Raw genomic sequence first — 16,653 nt, 5'->3', positions numbered from 1 at the left:
ATCAATACTAGATCGACTTCCTCTGTTTCCTTTCCCAAGTGTAGGGATGCGGGCTGTAGAATTAGGGGTATCTTGATACATGACATTTCTTTTCCAAAACACAGGCTTTGGCATCAGGTGGAACACGGGTTTGAATCTTATTCTGCCACGTGCTTTTTTTTTTTTTTTTGAGATAGAGTCTCTCGCCCTGTCACCCAGGCTAGAGTGCAGTGGCGCGATCTCGGCTCATTGCAACCTCTGCCTCCTGGGTTGGTTCAAGTGATTCTCGTGCCTCAGCCTCCCGAGTAGCTGGGATTACGGCCATGCATTACCACGCCCGGCTAATTTTTTCTACTTGTAGTAGAGAAGGATTTTCACTATGTTGGCCAGGCTGGTCTCAAACTCCTGGCCTCAAGTGATCCGCTCGCCTCGGCCTCCCAAAGTGCTGCCATGTGCTTTCACTACCTTTTTGATCATGGCCAATTAATGACCAGGCTCCCCTGAGATTGTTTAGTCATCTGTGCAGAAGTAATAAATGACATCCACCTCACAGGACTGTTGGGACAATTCAAGGGGGAAATAAACCTCAAGAATCTGAGAACAGAGCAAGGGGCCAACTGTTAGCTCCCTCACACCCAACCCGAATACTCAAACAGCTAACTGAAGATAGATGGGACAATATTCTCCTGAACGCAGACCGGACCGTGCAAATGGGCTCAGTAATAATCCATGAAACCCCAGCACAATGGAACGAGGAGGAACTGGGGCTTAGCTCCTCCCGGCTATTAATCCCTGAGCTGTCCAGACAGTCACTGATGACCCATGAGCCATGTTTCCAAAAAAAAATTATTTACACATCTGTTTAGAAAAGTTAAAACAGCCTGGTGGGGTAGCTTATGACTGTAATCCCAGCACTTTGGGAGGCCAAGATGGGCGGATTACTTGAGATCAGGAGTTTGAGATCAGCCTGGCCAACATGGTGAAACCCCATCTCTGCTACAAATACAAAAAGTAGCTGGGTGTGGTGGTGTGTGCCTGTAATCCCAGCTTCTTGGGAGGCTGAGGCAGGAGAATTGCTTGAACCTGGGAGGTGGAGACTGCAGTGAGCCGAGATCCTGCCACTGCACTCCAGTCTGGGTGACAGGGTGAGACTCCATCTCAAAAAAAAAAAAAAAAAAAAGAAAAGTTAGAACACATTTTGTTGTGGGACTGATGATGCGGTGTTTGAGAGGAGATCTCCAGTCCAGAGGAGCCCAGGTGATCCAGGAGGTGGTGTGTTAGCAAAGGATGATGGGATCGCCAATAGTGGGAGCTGGGGTGGCCTGAGGAGGAAGGTGAGTCATTTTGCCTGAAGGCAGGAGATCATGGGATCCTTTGCACTGGGTTTTGAGGGATGAATAGGAGGTCATTAGAAGAAAGAAGGATGAGGGAAAGTCATTCCAGGATAGGACAGTGGGCAAGGGCAGAGCCATTAACAGGGGGAATGATGGCATATTGTGGGGAAGGTGGTTACAGGACAGAAGGCTGCGCGGGGCGGGGGGGCATGGGCGGGAGCTGGGCAGACAGGCAGTGCTAGAAGAGTGTGGCCAGAGATGAAGATTAAAAGGCAGGCTGGGCGGGGCATGCGTGGCGTTTTACATGCTGCCCTACGACACTCTTCCAGAATAGGAGCCAGGGGAAGGTTTTAGGCAGGGAGAGGCATGATTAAACCTGCATTACAGAGGTAACCAGTGATAGGAGAGGCAAATGATTAGACGGGGACAGAGAGATGACAGAGGCAGGGAACCAGTTTGGCAGCCTGAGTGCGAGGTGACAAAGCCCTTAAGGAAGGCAGAGGGTGAAAAGTTGGGACAGGAGGTCAGAGGCAGAACCAGCAGGGCTTGGTGCCCCGGTAAACACGGGCACGGATGGAGGAGGCCAGGATGACGAAGATGTCTGGTTTGGGCCACCGAGGTGGGACCTGGAAGAAGGAAGGGAGAAGGGGACAGAGGTGGGAAAAAGAACAGCTCTCCCAGCAGACATGGTCAGTCTGAAATGCCACCCAGGACCCTCTGCTCAGAAGTCCTGAAGGCTGTTGAGACGTGCGTGGAGTCAGGGCCATCATCAAGGCTGGGGACACCTATTTCTTTATTTTTGAGGCGGAGTGTCACTCTGTTGCCCAGTCTGGAGTGCAGTGGCACCATCTCAGCTCACTGCAGCCTCTGCCTCCTGGGTTCAAGTGATCCTCCTGTCCCAGCCTCCCAAGTAGCTGGGATTACAGGCGTGCACCACCATGCCTGGCTAATTTTTGTATTTTTAGTAGAGACGGGTTTTCACCATGTTTGGCCAGCCTGGTCTTGAACTCCTGACCTCAGGTAATCTGCCTGCCTTGGCCTCCCAAAGTGCTGGGATTACAGGTGTGAGCCACTGCAACCGGCCAAAGCTGGGGATATCTATTTGGGAGCAGTCCATGTGCAGAAACAGAAAAGAAGAGGGGGGTACAGTTGTCCGGCATATGGGAAAAGTCGGCCCTCTGAATCTGTGGGTTTTCATCCTGAGAACACTGTATTTTTGGTCTGCTTTGGTTGCAGAAGCAGAACCTGTGGCTGCAGAGGGCTGACTGTATTGACTGAAAAACGTCTGTGTGTAACTGGACTCACGCAGCTGAAACCCGTGCTGTTCAAGGGCCGACTGCAGTCAAAGACATAATCCTGAGGAACGGCATTTGGAGGCTGAAGTGGGCAGATCGCTTGAGCCCAGGAGTTTTGAGACCAGCCTGGACAACACAGTGGGACCACATCCCTACAAAAAATACAAAAATTAGCTGAGTGTGGTGTCACACGCCTGCAGACCCAGCTACTCAGGAGGCTGAGGTGGAAGGACCACTTGAGCCCGGAAGGTGGAGGCGGCAGTGAGCCATCACTGCACCACTGCCCTCCAGCCTGGGCGACAGAGCAAGACTGTTTCAAAACAAAAACAAAAAAACAAAAAACAGTTTTGAACAGAGCTGTCCGCCATCCATCCCAGGTGAACCAGCACAGCAGACAGAGTCTTAAGACTCTTAGGTTTGACAGGCTCACCCCATAACGTCTCCTCTCCACGACGGGTGTGACTCAGGGCAGGGCCACCTGCCCTCTGCAGCCGTCTGCCTGCAAACTGTGCTTACCCAGAGCCATTACTGTTTGTTCCCAGGGCTGTGTGTGCCATCGCTGCCTGCCATCAAAGTTATGCACTTGAGCGACAAAGTGCCACCTAAACTCATAACTCATGAACCCATGGGTGCAAAAGAGTTGAGTGTTTCTACGAAACAGAGTCAAATGCTTTGGAAAAACTGAAAAGCAAGTCACTTAAAAACAAGCAAAACAGGCCCGGCGTGGGGGCTCACGCCTGGAATCCCAGCACTTTGGGAGGCCGAGGTGGGCGGATCACCTGAGGCTGGGAGTTCAAGACCAGCCTGGGCAACATGATGAAACCACGTCTCTACTAGAAATATAAAAATTAGCTGAATGTGATGGCACACGCCTGTAGTCCCAGCTACTCAGGAGGCTGAGGCACGGGAATTGCTTGAACTGGTAGGTGGAGGTTGCAGATTGTGCCACTGCACTCCAGCCAGGGCAACAGAGCAAGATCCTGTCTCAAAATAATAATAATTGCTCAGCTGGCCGTGGTGGCATACACCTGTAGCCCCAGTCCCACCTGTACTTAGGAGGCTGCAGCAGGAGGATCACTTGAGCCCAGGAGTTCAAGACCAGCCTGGACAATACAGCAAGACCCAATCTCTAAAATATATAGAGAGAGCTGGCCTTTTTTGATTAGTTGCCAATCTCTGAGAGCTCAGCTGGCCTGAGGCTGTCGTCAGGGCTTAGCGTGAGTGTGGGGGCTGAGTGTGGGTGCACCTGGGGTGCAGGGGCCGAGTGTGGGTGTGGAGGCCGAGTGTGGGCGCACCTGGGGTATGAGGGCCGAGTGTGAGTACACCTGGGGTACAGAGGCCGAGTGTGGGTGTATCTGGGGTACAGAGCCCAAGTGTGGGTGCACCCCAGGTGCTTCCACTCCAGGCAGCTTTCTATGGTGGAGGGTGTGTATTCAAAACACAGATGAAGAAGAGGTAAGGGCCACCTGCATGGGCTTGGGGTTCAGAAGTCTGTCCTGGGGAAAAGTGCCCTGCCCGACACCTTCCCAAGTGACTGCAACACACCCTACGCAACTCAGTGCTCAAGACGGCAGGTCTGGAGTGTGTGGGAGAATCCTCCGTGAGGTTTAGGCTAGGGTGGCCTGATGGAGAAAAGGAAACCCTTCAAGAGAAAAGGGTTTTGAGGGAGGGTGGGTTTCAGGGCAAGACTAGGGTGGTGCCTGTCCTGCAGCAGGCAAGGGTAGGGAGAGAGGGGTCCTTCTGAGACAGGCTGGAGGCCGGGAGTTCCCTTCACAGTGGGATGGGCTGCCCAGGCTGTGGTGAAGGAGCTGCAGGTGCACCTGGGGTGTGGGGGGACTAAGTGTGGGTACATCTGGGTTGTAGGGGCTGAGTGTGGGTGCATCTGGGTGCAGGGGGCAAGTGTGGGCGCATCTGGGGTGCGGGGGCCAAGTGTGGGCACACCCGGGTGTGGGGGCCAAGTGTGGGCACACCCAGGTGCGGGGGCCGAGTGTGGGCACACCTGGGGTGCGGAGGCCGAGTGTGGGTACATCGGGGTACAGAGGCCGAGTGTGGGTACATCGGGGTACAGAGGCCGAGTGTGGGTACATCTGGGGTACAGAGGCTGAGGGTGGGTACATCTGGGGTACAGAGGCCGAGTGTGGGTACATCTGGGGTACAGAGGCCAAGTGTGGGTACATCAGGGTACAGAGGCCGAGTGTGGGTACATCTGGGGTACAGAGGCCGAGTGTGGGTACATCTGGGGTACAGAGGCCGAGTGCGGGTGCACCTGGGGTGAGGGGCTGCTGGGGGGCTGGAGAGCAGACACACCTGCAATGCAGAAATGAAGGGAGAGGCCCTTCCATTCCCTGGTGCTTACTGAACAGGCGCCAGGTGGACTAGCAGATGTCTGAAAGGAAAGACTCTCCAGGAAACAAGTATTTGTGGAAACTCAAAAGAGCCGTCAATGAGTGCCACCTTCACCTCCTCTCCTCCCTCTCTCCCCCTTGAATCCACACCGACAACTCCATCAGCCACATGGGCCGGGGCAGAGAGGGCAGGTGTGCTAGGAACAGACATCGCAGCCACGCTGCCCGGGCTCAAACCCCCACCTCCGAGATCCAGAGCCAGGGACCTAACTGCACCCTGCCTCCATTTCCCCCATCTGTAGGATGGGGATAATCGTAGTGCCTGCTGGCTGGGCACAGTGGCTCACACCTGTAATCCCAGCACTTTGGGAGGCTGAGGTGGCAAGAAGGTGACAGAGTGGCCATCTGTCACTGACAGAGTGGGAGGAATGCTTGAGCCCAGGAGTTTGAGACCAGTCTGGGTAACATTGCAAAACCCCATTTCTACCAAAAGTAAAAAATTAGTCAAGCATGGTGCACGCCTGTGCTCCCAGTTACTTGGGGGGCTGAGGCAGGAGGATCGCTTGCGCCCAGGAGTTCTAGGCTGCAGTGAGCTGTGATTGTGCGACTGCACTCCAGCTGGGGTGACAGTGAGATCCCGCCTTAAAACAAAACAAAACAAAACAAAAAAACCCCACAAACACAAAAAACCAGTAATGCCCTCTCTGGGGGTTGGCTGTGATAGAGAACATTCTGGAATGCTGTCTGACACAAAGCAAATACTTTCCTTGACTATTTGTACTACCATTCACTTCCTCCGTAGCTGCTGGAATGATTCAACTAACAACCAAGTCAGGCATGTCCCTCCTCTGCTCAAAGCCCTGCCATGGCCCCCACCTTCCCCAGGAACCCGTCTTCACTGTGACCTGCAAGAATGGTCGGCAAACTATGGCCCCAGGGCCAAATCCAGCACCTCCTTTGGTAGAGCAAAAATATGCACCAGAGACCTTATGCTGCCCACAAAGCCCAAGGTATGTACCATCTGGTCTCTTACAGAGAGTCCAGGACCTCTGGCCCCACCCAGGCTATCTCCTCACCAGCTACCACCAGCCTTCACTCTCCCACTCTCCTGGGCCACCTGGCTCCACCCACCCCGGCCTCCTCCAAACATGTCACCATCCCACTGGGCCCCCGTGGCTGCTGCTCCTTCTGCCTGTCCCCATCTTCTTTTTCATTTTATTTTTATTGAGACCGAGTCTCGCTCTGTCATGCAGGCTGGAGTACAATGGTGCGATCTCAGCTCACTATAACTTCTGCCTCCTGGTTTCAGGTGATTGTCATGCCTCAGTCTCCCGAGTAGCTGGGATTACAGGCGTGCGCCACTCGTCTGGCTGATTTTTGTATTTTTAGTAGAGATGGGGTTTTGCCATGTTGGCCAGGCTGCTCTCCAACTCCTCACTTCAAGTGATCTGCCCGCCTTGGTCTCCCAAAGTGCTAGGATTACAGGTGTGAGCCACTGTGCTGGGCCAACTTTTATTTTTAAATGTATAATTTTCAAATAGAGACAGGGTCTTGCTATGCTGCCCAGGCTGGTCTTGAACTCCTGGCCTCAAGCAGTCCTCCTCCCTCTGCCTCCCAAAGTGCTAGAATTACAGGTGGTAAGCCATCTTGTCTGACCTGCCCACCTTCTCAGTGAAGCCCCAGAGGCCACCTTGTTTAAAATATCATCCAGGCCAGGTGTAGTGGTTCACACCTGTAATCCCAGCACTTTGGGTGGTGGCTGAGGCGGGTGGATCACTTGAGGTCAGGAGTTCGAGACCAGCCTGACCAACATAGTGAAACCCTGTCTCTACCACAAATACAAAAATTACGCAGGTGTGGTGGTGCGTGCCTGTAATCCCAGCTACTTGGGAGGCTGAGGCAGGAGAATCGCTTGAACCTGGGAGGCAAAGGCTGCAGTGAGCCGAGATGGTGCCACTGCACTCCAGAATGGGCAACAGTGTGAGACTCCATCTCAAAAAACAACAACAACAACAAAAACAGCCGGGCATGGTGGCTCACGCCTGTAATCCCAACACTTTGGGAGGCTGAGGCGAGCGGATCATGAGGTCAGGAGATCGAGACCATCCTGGCTAACACAGTGAAACCCCGTTTCCACTTAAAAATACAAAAAATTAGCTGGGCGTGGTGGCGGGCACCTGTAGTCCCAGCTACTCGGGAGGCTGAGGCAGGAGAATGGTGTGAACCCGGGAGGCAGAGTTTGCAGTGAGCCAAGATCGTGCCACTGCACTCCAGGCTTGGCAGCAGAGCAAGACTCTGTCTCAAAAAAAAAAAAAAACCCAAATAAAATATCATCCACCCCAAAACACACACACACACACACACACACACACACACACACACACACACACACGAATTTTCTCCGTGAGGCACATCACAGCCTCCTTGCACTCAGGGGCACTTGCTGGCACTGCAGCACTACGTTTGAAGGTCATTTTATTTTCTAAAAAATTTATTATTATATTGTTATTTTAGAGATGAGGTCTCTGCTGCCCAGGCTGGACTGCAGTGGCGTGATCGTAGCTCACTGCAGCCTCGAACTCCTGGGCTCAAGGAATCAAGGGATCCTCCTGCCTCAGCCTCCCAAGTAGCTGAGACCACAGGTGTGTGACACCATGCCTGGCTAATTAAAAAAAATTTTTTTTTTAGAGATAGGGTCTTGCTATGTTGCCCAGGCTGGCTGGTCTCAAACTCCTGGGCTCAACTAATCCTCCTGCCTAGGCCTCCCAGTGTGCTGAGATTATAGGCATGAGCCTCCTCGCCCAGCTAGGGGTCATTTTCAACATTAACATCACCAACAAGAAGCACACAAATGCGAAAACCGTGGTACTCCATAGACCTTCAACAGGGCATGTGTTTACAGTGTGAGAGGCTGAACGAGAAGGTGGAGTGTCGCCTCGCTCAGCCTCAGCTGGGAACCTGTGTGGGAACTCCAAGTTTTCTCCACTCTGCACCAATATGAATGGATTCATGTTGCGGTTACAGAGAAATTTTAGCAAGCGGGTGAAAATTAAACAAAGAATTACCATCCGATCCAGCAATTCTACTCCTGGGTATATCTTCAAAAGGGTAAACACTGACTCTGCAAATCCCAAGGCTCAACTGTAGTTTTGTTTATTTAGAAGGGAAACTCCAGGAGCTGCGGGTCTCTGTGGTCATGGCTGGCACGAGGCCTGTCATGTGGTGGGTGGGTGCTTAACAAATACGCGCTTCAGGGAGGGAGGGAGAGGACGTCTGGGAGGGACCTGGTCTGGACCGGTCAGAGAAAGGAAAGGGCAGGGTGGAGGGAATGTCTTATTCCAGGAGGTTCTGCCATGGGCCTTGGGGGCCCTTGGAGAGTCACTTTGTCATTGAACCTGAAGCCACGGAAAGGTTTATGTGGAGGATTGGATGAGCTCTGCTTCTCGAAACGATGGCTGCAGCGTGGGGAGCAGGGCACACTGGAAGGGGTTGCTGGTGGACGCAGGGGGACCGGGACCTCGAGGGCAGGGTGGAGAGTGGCAGAGAGGGGCGGTGCAGGGGCCATGAAGTGGGGGGCAGAGTGGCGGGCTCGGCAGCAGGCAGCCGCTGGCACGGGGTGTTGCGCTCAGGAGGGCGCTCTAAGCAAGGGGTGGACATTTGGGCCTAAGGTGCTACCTGAAGCCCGGGAGAACCCAGGAGTGCCCAGGAGCAGGGTTAGGGAGGTGGTTTAATGGAGCTGCCTGGAGATTCAATGGGATAAGGGATGGAACTAAGGTCCTTGGGTCCAGCTTTGTTGAAAGCGGTCTTGGGAGCAGAATAGCTGAATGGCATGCGTGGTTTTTATTTTGGGGGAGGGGAGAACACAGTTGTATCATAATCACTGGCTCAAACTAGTATTATTTTATTTATTTATTTACTTATTTATTTTGAGATGGAATTTTACTCTGTGGCCCAGGCTGGAGTGCAGTGGCACGATCTCGGGTCACTGCAACCTCTGCTTTCTGGGTTCAAATGATCCTCTTGCCTCAGCCACCCGAGTAGCTGGGATTACAGGCACCTGCCCCCACACCCGGCTAATTTTTGTATTTTTATTGTTTTTGTTTTTTTCTTTTTTTTTGAGACAGAGTCTCGCAGTCGCCAGGCTGGAGTGCAATGGCGCGATCTCAGCTCACTGCAACCTCCACCTCCCGGGTTCAAGCGATTCTCCTGCCTCAGCCTCCAGAGTAGCTGGGATCACAGGCACGCACCACCATGCCCAGCTAATTTTTGTATTTTTAGTAGAGACGGGGTTTCACCATCTTGGCCAGGATGGTCTCGATCTCTTGACCTTGTGATCCGCCTGCCTCAGCTTCCCAAAGTGCTGGAATTATAGGCGTGAACCACCGTGCCCAGCCTAATTTTTGTATTTTTAGTAGAGATGGGGTTCACCATGTTGGCTAGGCTGGTCTCGAACTCCTGACCCAGGTGATCTGCCCGCCTTGGCCTCCCAAAGTGCTGGGATTACAGGCATCAGCCACCGCGCCTGGCCCTCAAACTAGTATTATTATGACTTTTTAAAAAAACGATCAACTGAAACCCCGAAGTTGTTTCCTCACAAGCTGTCATGAGGTTCTATTTCCCCATCCTGTACTTATATGGTTGCTTATCTAGACCAACGATTCTCTACCAGGGGTGATTCTTGCTCCCAGGGTCATTTGGCAGAGTCTGGAGACATTTTTGGTTGCTATGGGAGTGAGGGGGGAAGAGGGGTGCTCCTGGCATCTGGTGGGTGGAGGCCAGGGATGCTGCTCAGCACCCTGCAGTGCCCAGGTAGGTCCCATCCCAAAGAATGATCCGGCCCCAAATGCCTACAGTATCTAGGCTGGGAAACCCTGATTTAGACCCACGCGCAGGAATCTAAGCATCCCGGTACTCACTCTGTCACCTGGTGATTAAAGCCACCCCTATAGCTGTCTGTCATCTCCAGCTTTGATAAATAAGCTTTCTACATCTTTATCTTCCCAAATTACAAGTTAAATGACTGACCGAGACACAGCAGAGGACAGAACCGTGGGTGGCTTCCTACTAAGTTAACATCAGCCCATTAATTAACAGCTTTGTGAACTTCCATCCACCGATGAGCATGGCTAAAAGATGATTACCTCACGACCATCTTGTTTGTTTGTTTATTTTTTGGAGACAGAGTCTCGGCTGGAGTATAGTGGTATAATCATAGCTCACTGCAGCCCCAAACTCCTGGGGCTTAAGTAATCCTTCTCCCTATCTCCCAAGTAGCTGGAACTACAAGTGCACACCACCATGGCTAATTAAAAAAGATTTTTTTGCCGGGCGCAGTGGCTCACGCCTGTAATCCCAGCACTTTGGGAGGCCGAGGCAGGTGGATCACGAGGTCAGGAGATCGAAACCATCCTGGTCAACACGGTGAAACCCCGTGTCTACTAAAAATGCAAAAAATTAGCTGGGCATGGTGGCGGGCGCCTGTAGTCCCAGCTACTTGGGAGGCTGAGGCAGGAGAATGGCGTGAACCCAGGAGGTGGAGCTTGCAGTGAGCCGAGATCGTGCCACTGCACTCCAGCCTGGGCAACAGAGCAAGACTCTGTCTCAAAAAAAAAAGAAAAAAAAAAAAAAGCTTTTTGTTTTTTGTGTTTTTTTTGGTAGAGACAGGGTCTTGCCGTGTTGCCCAGGCTGGTTTTGAACTCCTGGGCTCAATCGATCCTCCTGCCTTGGCCTCCCACAGTGTTGGGATTGCAGGCATGAGCCACCATACCCAGCCCATAACTATCTTAATATCTCTGCGTGCTTCTGATCCTGCCCCCAAAAATATGGTGTGGGACGTGGTTAGATGCTTTCTATTTCCATGTGTTTGATCCTGATTCGCTGGCTGAAATGCCAAAGGTCACGGGAAACTGTGACTTGCTTTCCAGTTCTTGCAAGATCCTATAGTGTCAGATGCAACTAGTAAGGGGACTCCTCCAACTCAACAATAAAAAACAAATACTCCCATTCACAAATGGGCAAAGGATGTAAACAGACACGTCTCCAAAGAAGAGATACAAACGACCAGTCAGCACATGAAAAGACGCTCAACATCAGTAGTCACCAGGGAAACGCAAAGCAAAACCGCCCACTTCACACCCACTAAGATGGGATAATTTATTTTATTTACTTTTTTTTTTTTTTTGAGACAGAGTCTTGCTCTGTCACCCAGGCTCCAGTGCAGTGGCTCGATCTCAGTTCACTGCAACCTCCGCCTCCTGGGTTCAAGTGATTCTCCTGCCTCAGCCTCCTGAGTAGCTGGGATTACAGGCGCCTGCCACCACGCCCGGCTACTTTATGTATTTTTAGTAAAGACGGGGTTTTGCCATGTTGGCCAGGCTGGTCTGGAACTCCTGACCTCAGGTGATCCGCCCACCTTCGTCTCCCAAAGTGCTGGGATTACAGGCTGAGCCACCGTTCCTGGCCTAAAATGGTATAATTTAAAAAACCGAAAATTAAGTGTCTCGGTGAGAAGGCGGAGAAACCAGGACCCTCATACACTGCTGGTAGGAAGGTAAAATGGGGCAGCTGCTATGGAAGACAGCTTGGTGGTTCCTAAAAACCCTAGCATAGGCCGGGCGCGGTGGCTCACGCCTCTAATCCCAGCACTTTGGGAGGCCGAGGAGGCCGGAATACGAAGTCAGGAGTTCGAGACCAGCCTGACCAACACTAAAAATACAAAAATTAGCCGGGTGTGGTGGCGCGCCCCTGTAATCCCAGCTACTTGGGAGGCTGAGGCAGGAGAATTGCTTGAACCCGGGAGGCAGAGGTTGCAGTGAGCCAAGATCACGCCACTGCACTGCAGCCTGCGTGACAGAGCGAGACTCCATCTCAAAAAAAAAAAAGAAAAACCAAACAAAAAAACACAAAACATGGAAATAAGTGTGCATGTATAGATGAATGGATAAACAAAACGTGACATACACGCACACTGTAATATTATTCAGCCTTAAGAAGGAAGTTCTGACACACAGATGGACCTTGAGGACACTATGCTCAGTGAAATAAGCCAGTCACAAAAGAATACATCGTATGTGACTCCACTTCTAGGAGGTCCCTAGAGTTGTCAGATTCATAGAGACAGGAAGTAGAATGGTGGGTGCCAAGGGCTGGGGAGGGGGATGGAGAGTGAGTGTTTTATGAGGACAGAGTTGCAGCTTGGGAAGAGGAGAAAGTTCTAGAGATGGATGGTGGTGATGGTAGCATCAGCAATGTGTATGTGTTTAATGCCACCAACCTGTGCACTTAAAAAATGATTTTTTTAAAAAAAGATGCCACTTGGCTGGGCACGGTGGCTGACACCTGTCATCCCAGCACTTTGGGAGGCCGAGGTGGGCAGACCACTTGAGGTCAGGAGTTCAAGACCAGCCTGGCCAACATGGTGAAAGCCTGTGTCTACTAAAAATACAAAACTTAGCTGGACATGGTGGTGTGCACCTGTAATCCCATCTACTTGGGAGGCTGAGGCAGGAGAACTGCTTGAACCTGGGAGGTGGAGGTTGCAGTGAGCTGAGATCACACCACTGCCCTCCAGCCTGGGCAACAGGGCAAGACTCTGTCAAGAAAAGAAATAGAAAAGAAAAGGGAAGGGGAGGGGAGGGAAAGGGAAAGGGGAAGGGGAAGGGGAAGGGGAAGAGGTAGGGGAAAGGAACAGGAAGAAAAGAAGGAAAGAGAGAAGCTTGGTGTGCAACTTCATTTTTAACATATCTGACAAAAGAAAGTGCCTAAGGCCAGGTCTCAGGTGGAGAGGCCCTGCGCTGCCCAGGCTTGTTCTGAGATCCTCTGCTTCCTTTTGTGCAAATTTCACACTATTTTCTGGTATCAGGATGGAGGGACCTTCAATATCACCTATAGATATTGCAGATGCTGAAAAAGCATCTGCCTTGTGAGTATTTCTCTTGACACTGGGTACAGGCCAGATGCTGAAGTATAAGAGGTCCCAGCAAAACTATTCCACCCCCTGAGGCCTTCTTAGGAAGGGCAGTGCGTGGCATTTTTTAAACAATTATGTTAGTTCTATTGACTGGGCAGAAATCAAAATGACAAGGGTGAAAAACCTTTTTTTTTTTTTTTTTTTGAGATGGAGTCTCACGCTGCTGCCCAGGCTGGAGTGCAATAGCACAATCTCAGATCACTGCAACCTCTGCTTCTCAGGTTCAAGCGATTCTCGTGCCTCAGCCTCCCAAGTAAATGGGATTATAGGTGCATGCCACCACACCCAGCTAATTTTTTTATTTTTAGTAGAGATGGGGTTTTACCGTGTTGGCCAGGCTGGTCTCGAACTCCTGACCTCAGATGATCTGCCAGCCTCAGCCTCCCAAAGTGCTGGGATTTACAGGCGCGAACCACCATGCCCAGCCCCTGAAAAACATTTTGATGAAAAGAAGACTGATTCTGAAAACATTAATTCAGGTCTAGTTACATAGCTGAAATCTTCCAGAAAGCTGGAAGATTTATATACATATGTGTGTGTGTATGTATGTGTGTGTGTATATATATATATATTTCAAGCCAACAATTTTAATGTGGGAAATAAACAGCAAATAAATGTCAGCAGAGGTGACTCTAAGACGGACAGAGGAAACCAAACACCTGAGAGAGGCCGGGGGTTTCTCTTTCAGCAGATCAAAAGCAATCAGTCACAGGCGGAAGGCAGGGCAGCAAAACAGGTGTGCAGAATGCCAGAAAAAACCCTGTTTGCCTTCAATGGGCGGGGAAAGTATTCAAGGGCACTGCATTTCTGGAAAAAGGGAACTGCAATGATGTCAGGGCTGGTGAACCTTAGAAAAACCCTTCACAGGCCGGGCATGATGGCTCACGCCTGTAATCCCAGCACTTTGGGAGGCCAAGGCGGGTGGATCACGAGGTCAGGAGTTCAAGACCAACCTGGCCAACATGGTAAAACCCCATCTCTGCTAAAAAAAAAAAAAAAAAATACAAAAAAAATTAGCCGGGTGTGGTGGCAGGCACCTGTAATCCCAGCTACTTGGGAGGCTGAGGCAGGAGAATCGCTTGAACTTGGAGGGCGGAGGTTGCAGTAAGTAAGCTGAGGTTGCACCACTGCACTCCAGCCTAGGCGACAGAGTGAGACTCCATCTCAATAAAAAAAAAAAAAAAAGAAAGAAAGAAAGAAAAACCCCTCACAGGCCAGGCGCGATGGCTCACGCCTGTAATCCCAACACTCTGGGAGGCCGAGGTGGGCCTTGGCTCAAGTGTGAGTTCAGGTGTTTGAGACCAGCCTGGCCAACATGGTGAAACCCCGTGTTTACTAAAAAATACAAAAATACAAAAATTAGCTGGAGGTGGTGGCAGGCGCCTGTAATCCCAGCTACTTGGGAGGCTGAGGCAGGAGAATAGCTTGAACTCAGGAGGTGGAGGTTACAGTGAGCCGAGATTGTACCACTGCACTCCAGCTTGGGTGATAGAGTGGCCTCCAACTCAAAAAAAAAAAAAAAAGACTCTTCATTAGTTTCCAATCTAATCCAAACTCTCACAGAGGCCAACCTTTCCATAGCATGGACTGGGACTGCCATTAAGTCTTTTTTTTTTTTTTTTTTTTAAGAAACAGGGTCGGCCGGACGCGGTGGATCACAAGGTCAGGAGATCAAGACCATCCCGGCTGACATGGTGAAACCCAGTCTCTACTAAAAATACAAAAAATTAGCCGGGCGAGGTGGTGGGCGCCTGTAGTCCCAGCTTCTTGGGAGGCTGAGGTAGGAGAATGGCATGAACCCAGGAGGCGGAGCTTGCAGTGAGCCGAGAACACGCCACTGCACTCCAGCCTGGGCGACAGAGCGAGACTCCAACTCAAAAAAAAAAAAAAAAAAAAGAAACAGGGTCTTGCTCTTGCCCAGGCTGGAATGCAGTGGTGCAATCACGGCTCACTGCAGTCTCGAACTCCTGGACTCAAGCGATCTTCCTGCCTCAGCCTCCCAAGTAGCTGGGACTATAGGTGCACACTACCTACCTGTAGTCACCACGCGTGTGTAAGTTTATATATTTCTTTTTGTAGAGATGGGGTCTCACTATGTTGCCCAAGCTGGTCTTGAACTCTTGGGTTCAAGTGATCCTCCCGCCTTAGCCTCCCAAAGTGTGAGATTACAGGCGTGAGCCACTGCACTCAGCCGGTCTTGTTGTTTTCATCTGGGGGGACTCAAACTCTATGTTGAACACCCCCAGGCTTGCAAATACCACAACAGATCATTACTCCCTTAGAAAACACACTGCAGGATAAAGAGGGGCCCCTCAGGGAGCTGCTGCTCATGGATGGGCCCAGATTGTGAAGAGGTCAACCTGGGACACAGCTGCTAAGCTCATGAGACAGGTGAGGGCCTCCTGTTCCCTAACCCGCATCCCTCGCCAAATTTAGTCAGACCATTGTGGCCCTAGAAACAGAACTGTAAAAATGATGCGTCTACTGTAGGGGCTGGTGAACCCCTACTGTCTGTGGGCTGGCCACCTGTTTTTGTAAATAAAATTTTATCAGAACACGGCCACGCCCACTTGTTTCTCTGTTGTCTGTGGCTTCTTTTGAGTTGAGTGGCTGTGACAGAGGCTATGTGGGCTGCAAAGCCTGAAATATTTATTATCTGGCTCTTTCTCTTTTTTTTGAAACAGGGTCTCACTTTATCATCCAGGCTGGAGGCAGTGGTGCGATTTCGGCTCACTGCAACTTCAACCTCCCGAGTTCAAGCAATTCTCCTGTCTCACCCCCCAAGTAGCTGGGATTATAGGCATAAGCCACAATGCCTGGATAATTTTTGTATTTTTAGTAGAGATGGGGTTTCACCACGTTACCCAGGCTGGTCTCCAACTCCTGGGATCAAGTGATCTGCCCACCTCTGCCTCCTGAAATGCTGAGATTACAGGCGTGAGCCACTGCACCCAGCCTACTACCTCTTTTTTTTTTTTTTTTTTTTTTTTTTGAGACGGAGTCTCGCTCTGTTGCCCAGGCTGGAGTGCAGTGGCGCGGTCTCGGCTCACTGCAAGCTCCGCCTCCTGGGTTCACGCCATTCTCCTGCCTCAGCCTCCCGAGTAGCTGGGACTCCAGGCGCGGCCACCACGCCCGGCTAGTTTTTTTGTATTTTCAGTAGAGACGGGGTTTCACCGTTTTAGTCAAGATGGTCTTAATCTCCTGACCTCGTGATCCGCCCGTCTCGGCCTCTACCTAGCTCTTAACAGAAAAAATTTGCTGGCCCCTGGCCTACTATATCTAATTGGTTTGTTCTGGAAGGGAGAGCCTATTTCCAAGAATTCAAATGCAACCAGCTGGGCTCATGCAGTCTGGGAACTCCCAATGCTCTATCCCTGATGTGCAGAAGGAACCGGAATAAAAGGAGTGGCAAAGTGGATTCGCTGTGCAAAGTCATTACTGAATTCCAGACGCTTGAAATTGCCCATGCTGGGAGCAAACAGGCCACAAACAAGTAGCAAAGAGGTTGGTTTCTTTTTTTTTTTTTTTGAGACTCAGTCTCACTCTGTCACCCAGGCTGGGGTACAGTGGCTCAATCTCGGCTCGCTTCAACCCCCACCTCTTGGGTTCCAGCGATTCTCCTGCCTCAGCCTCCTGAGTAGCTGGGATTACAGGTGCCCGCCACCACACCCGGCTAATTTTTGCATTTTTAGTAGAGACGGGGTTTTCACCATGTTGGCCAGGCTGGTCTC

General features: G+C 51.1%; 1 protein-coding gene across 13 annotated transcripts in view, besides 1 other annotated feature; it reads right to left on the bottom strand.

Annotated features, from left to right (window-relative positions):
* ARHGEF18 (Rho/Rac guanine nucleotide exchange factor 18) overlaps nt 1–16,653 on the bottom strand; it is a 131,053-nt gene that overhangs the window by 56,114 nt on the left and 58,286 nt on the right. The window lies entirely within an intron of this gene.
* Nucleotides 13,727–13,866: a silencer, noted in NCBI's record as "silent region_9980". NCBI's record gives its function as "represses an Ori minimal core promoter by ATAC-STARR-seq in GM12878 lymphoblastoid cells {active_cell/tissue: GM12878}" and the evidence as "EXISTENCE:reporter gene assay evidence [ECO:0000049][PMID:35858748]".

The sequence above is a fragment of the Homo sapiens genome, chromosome 19 (assembly GCF_000001405.40).
Source record: "Homo sapiens chromosome 19, GRCh38.p14 Primary Assembly".
Taxonomy (NCBI): Eukaryota; Metazoa; Chordata; class Mammalia; order Primates; family Hominidae; genus Homo; species Homo sapiens.
Note: the sequence above shows the minus strand (reverse complement) of the source record. Positions and strands in the feature narration are given on the sequence as shown.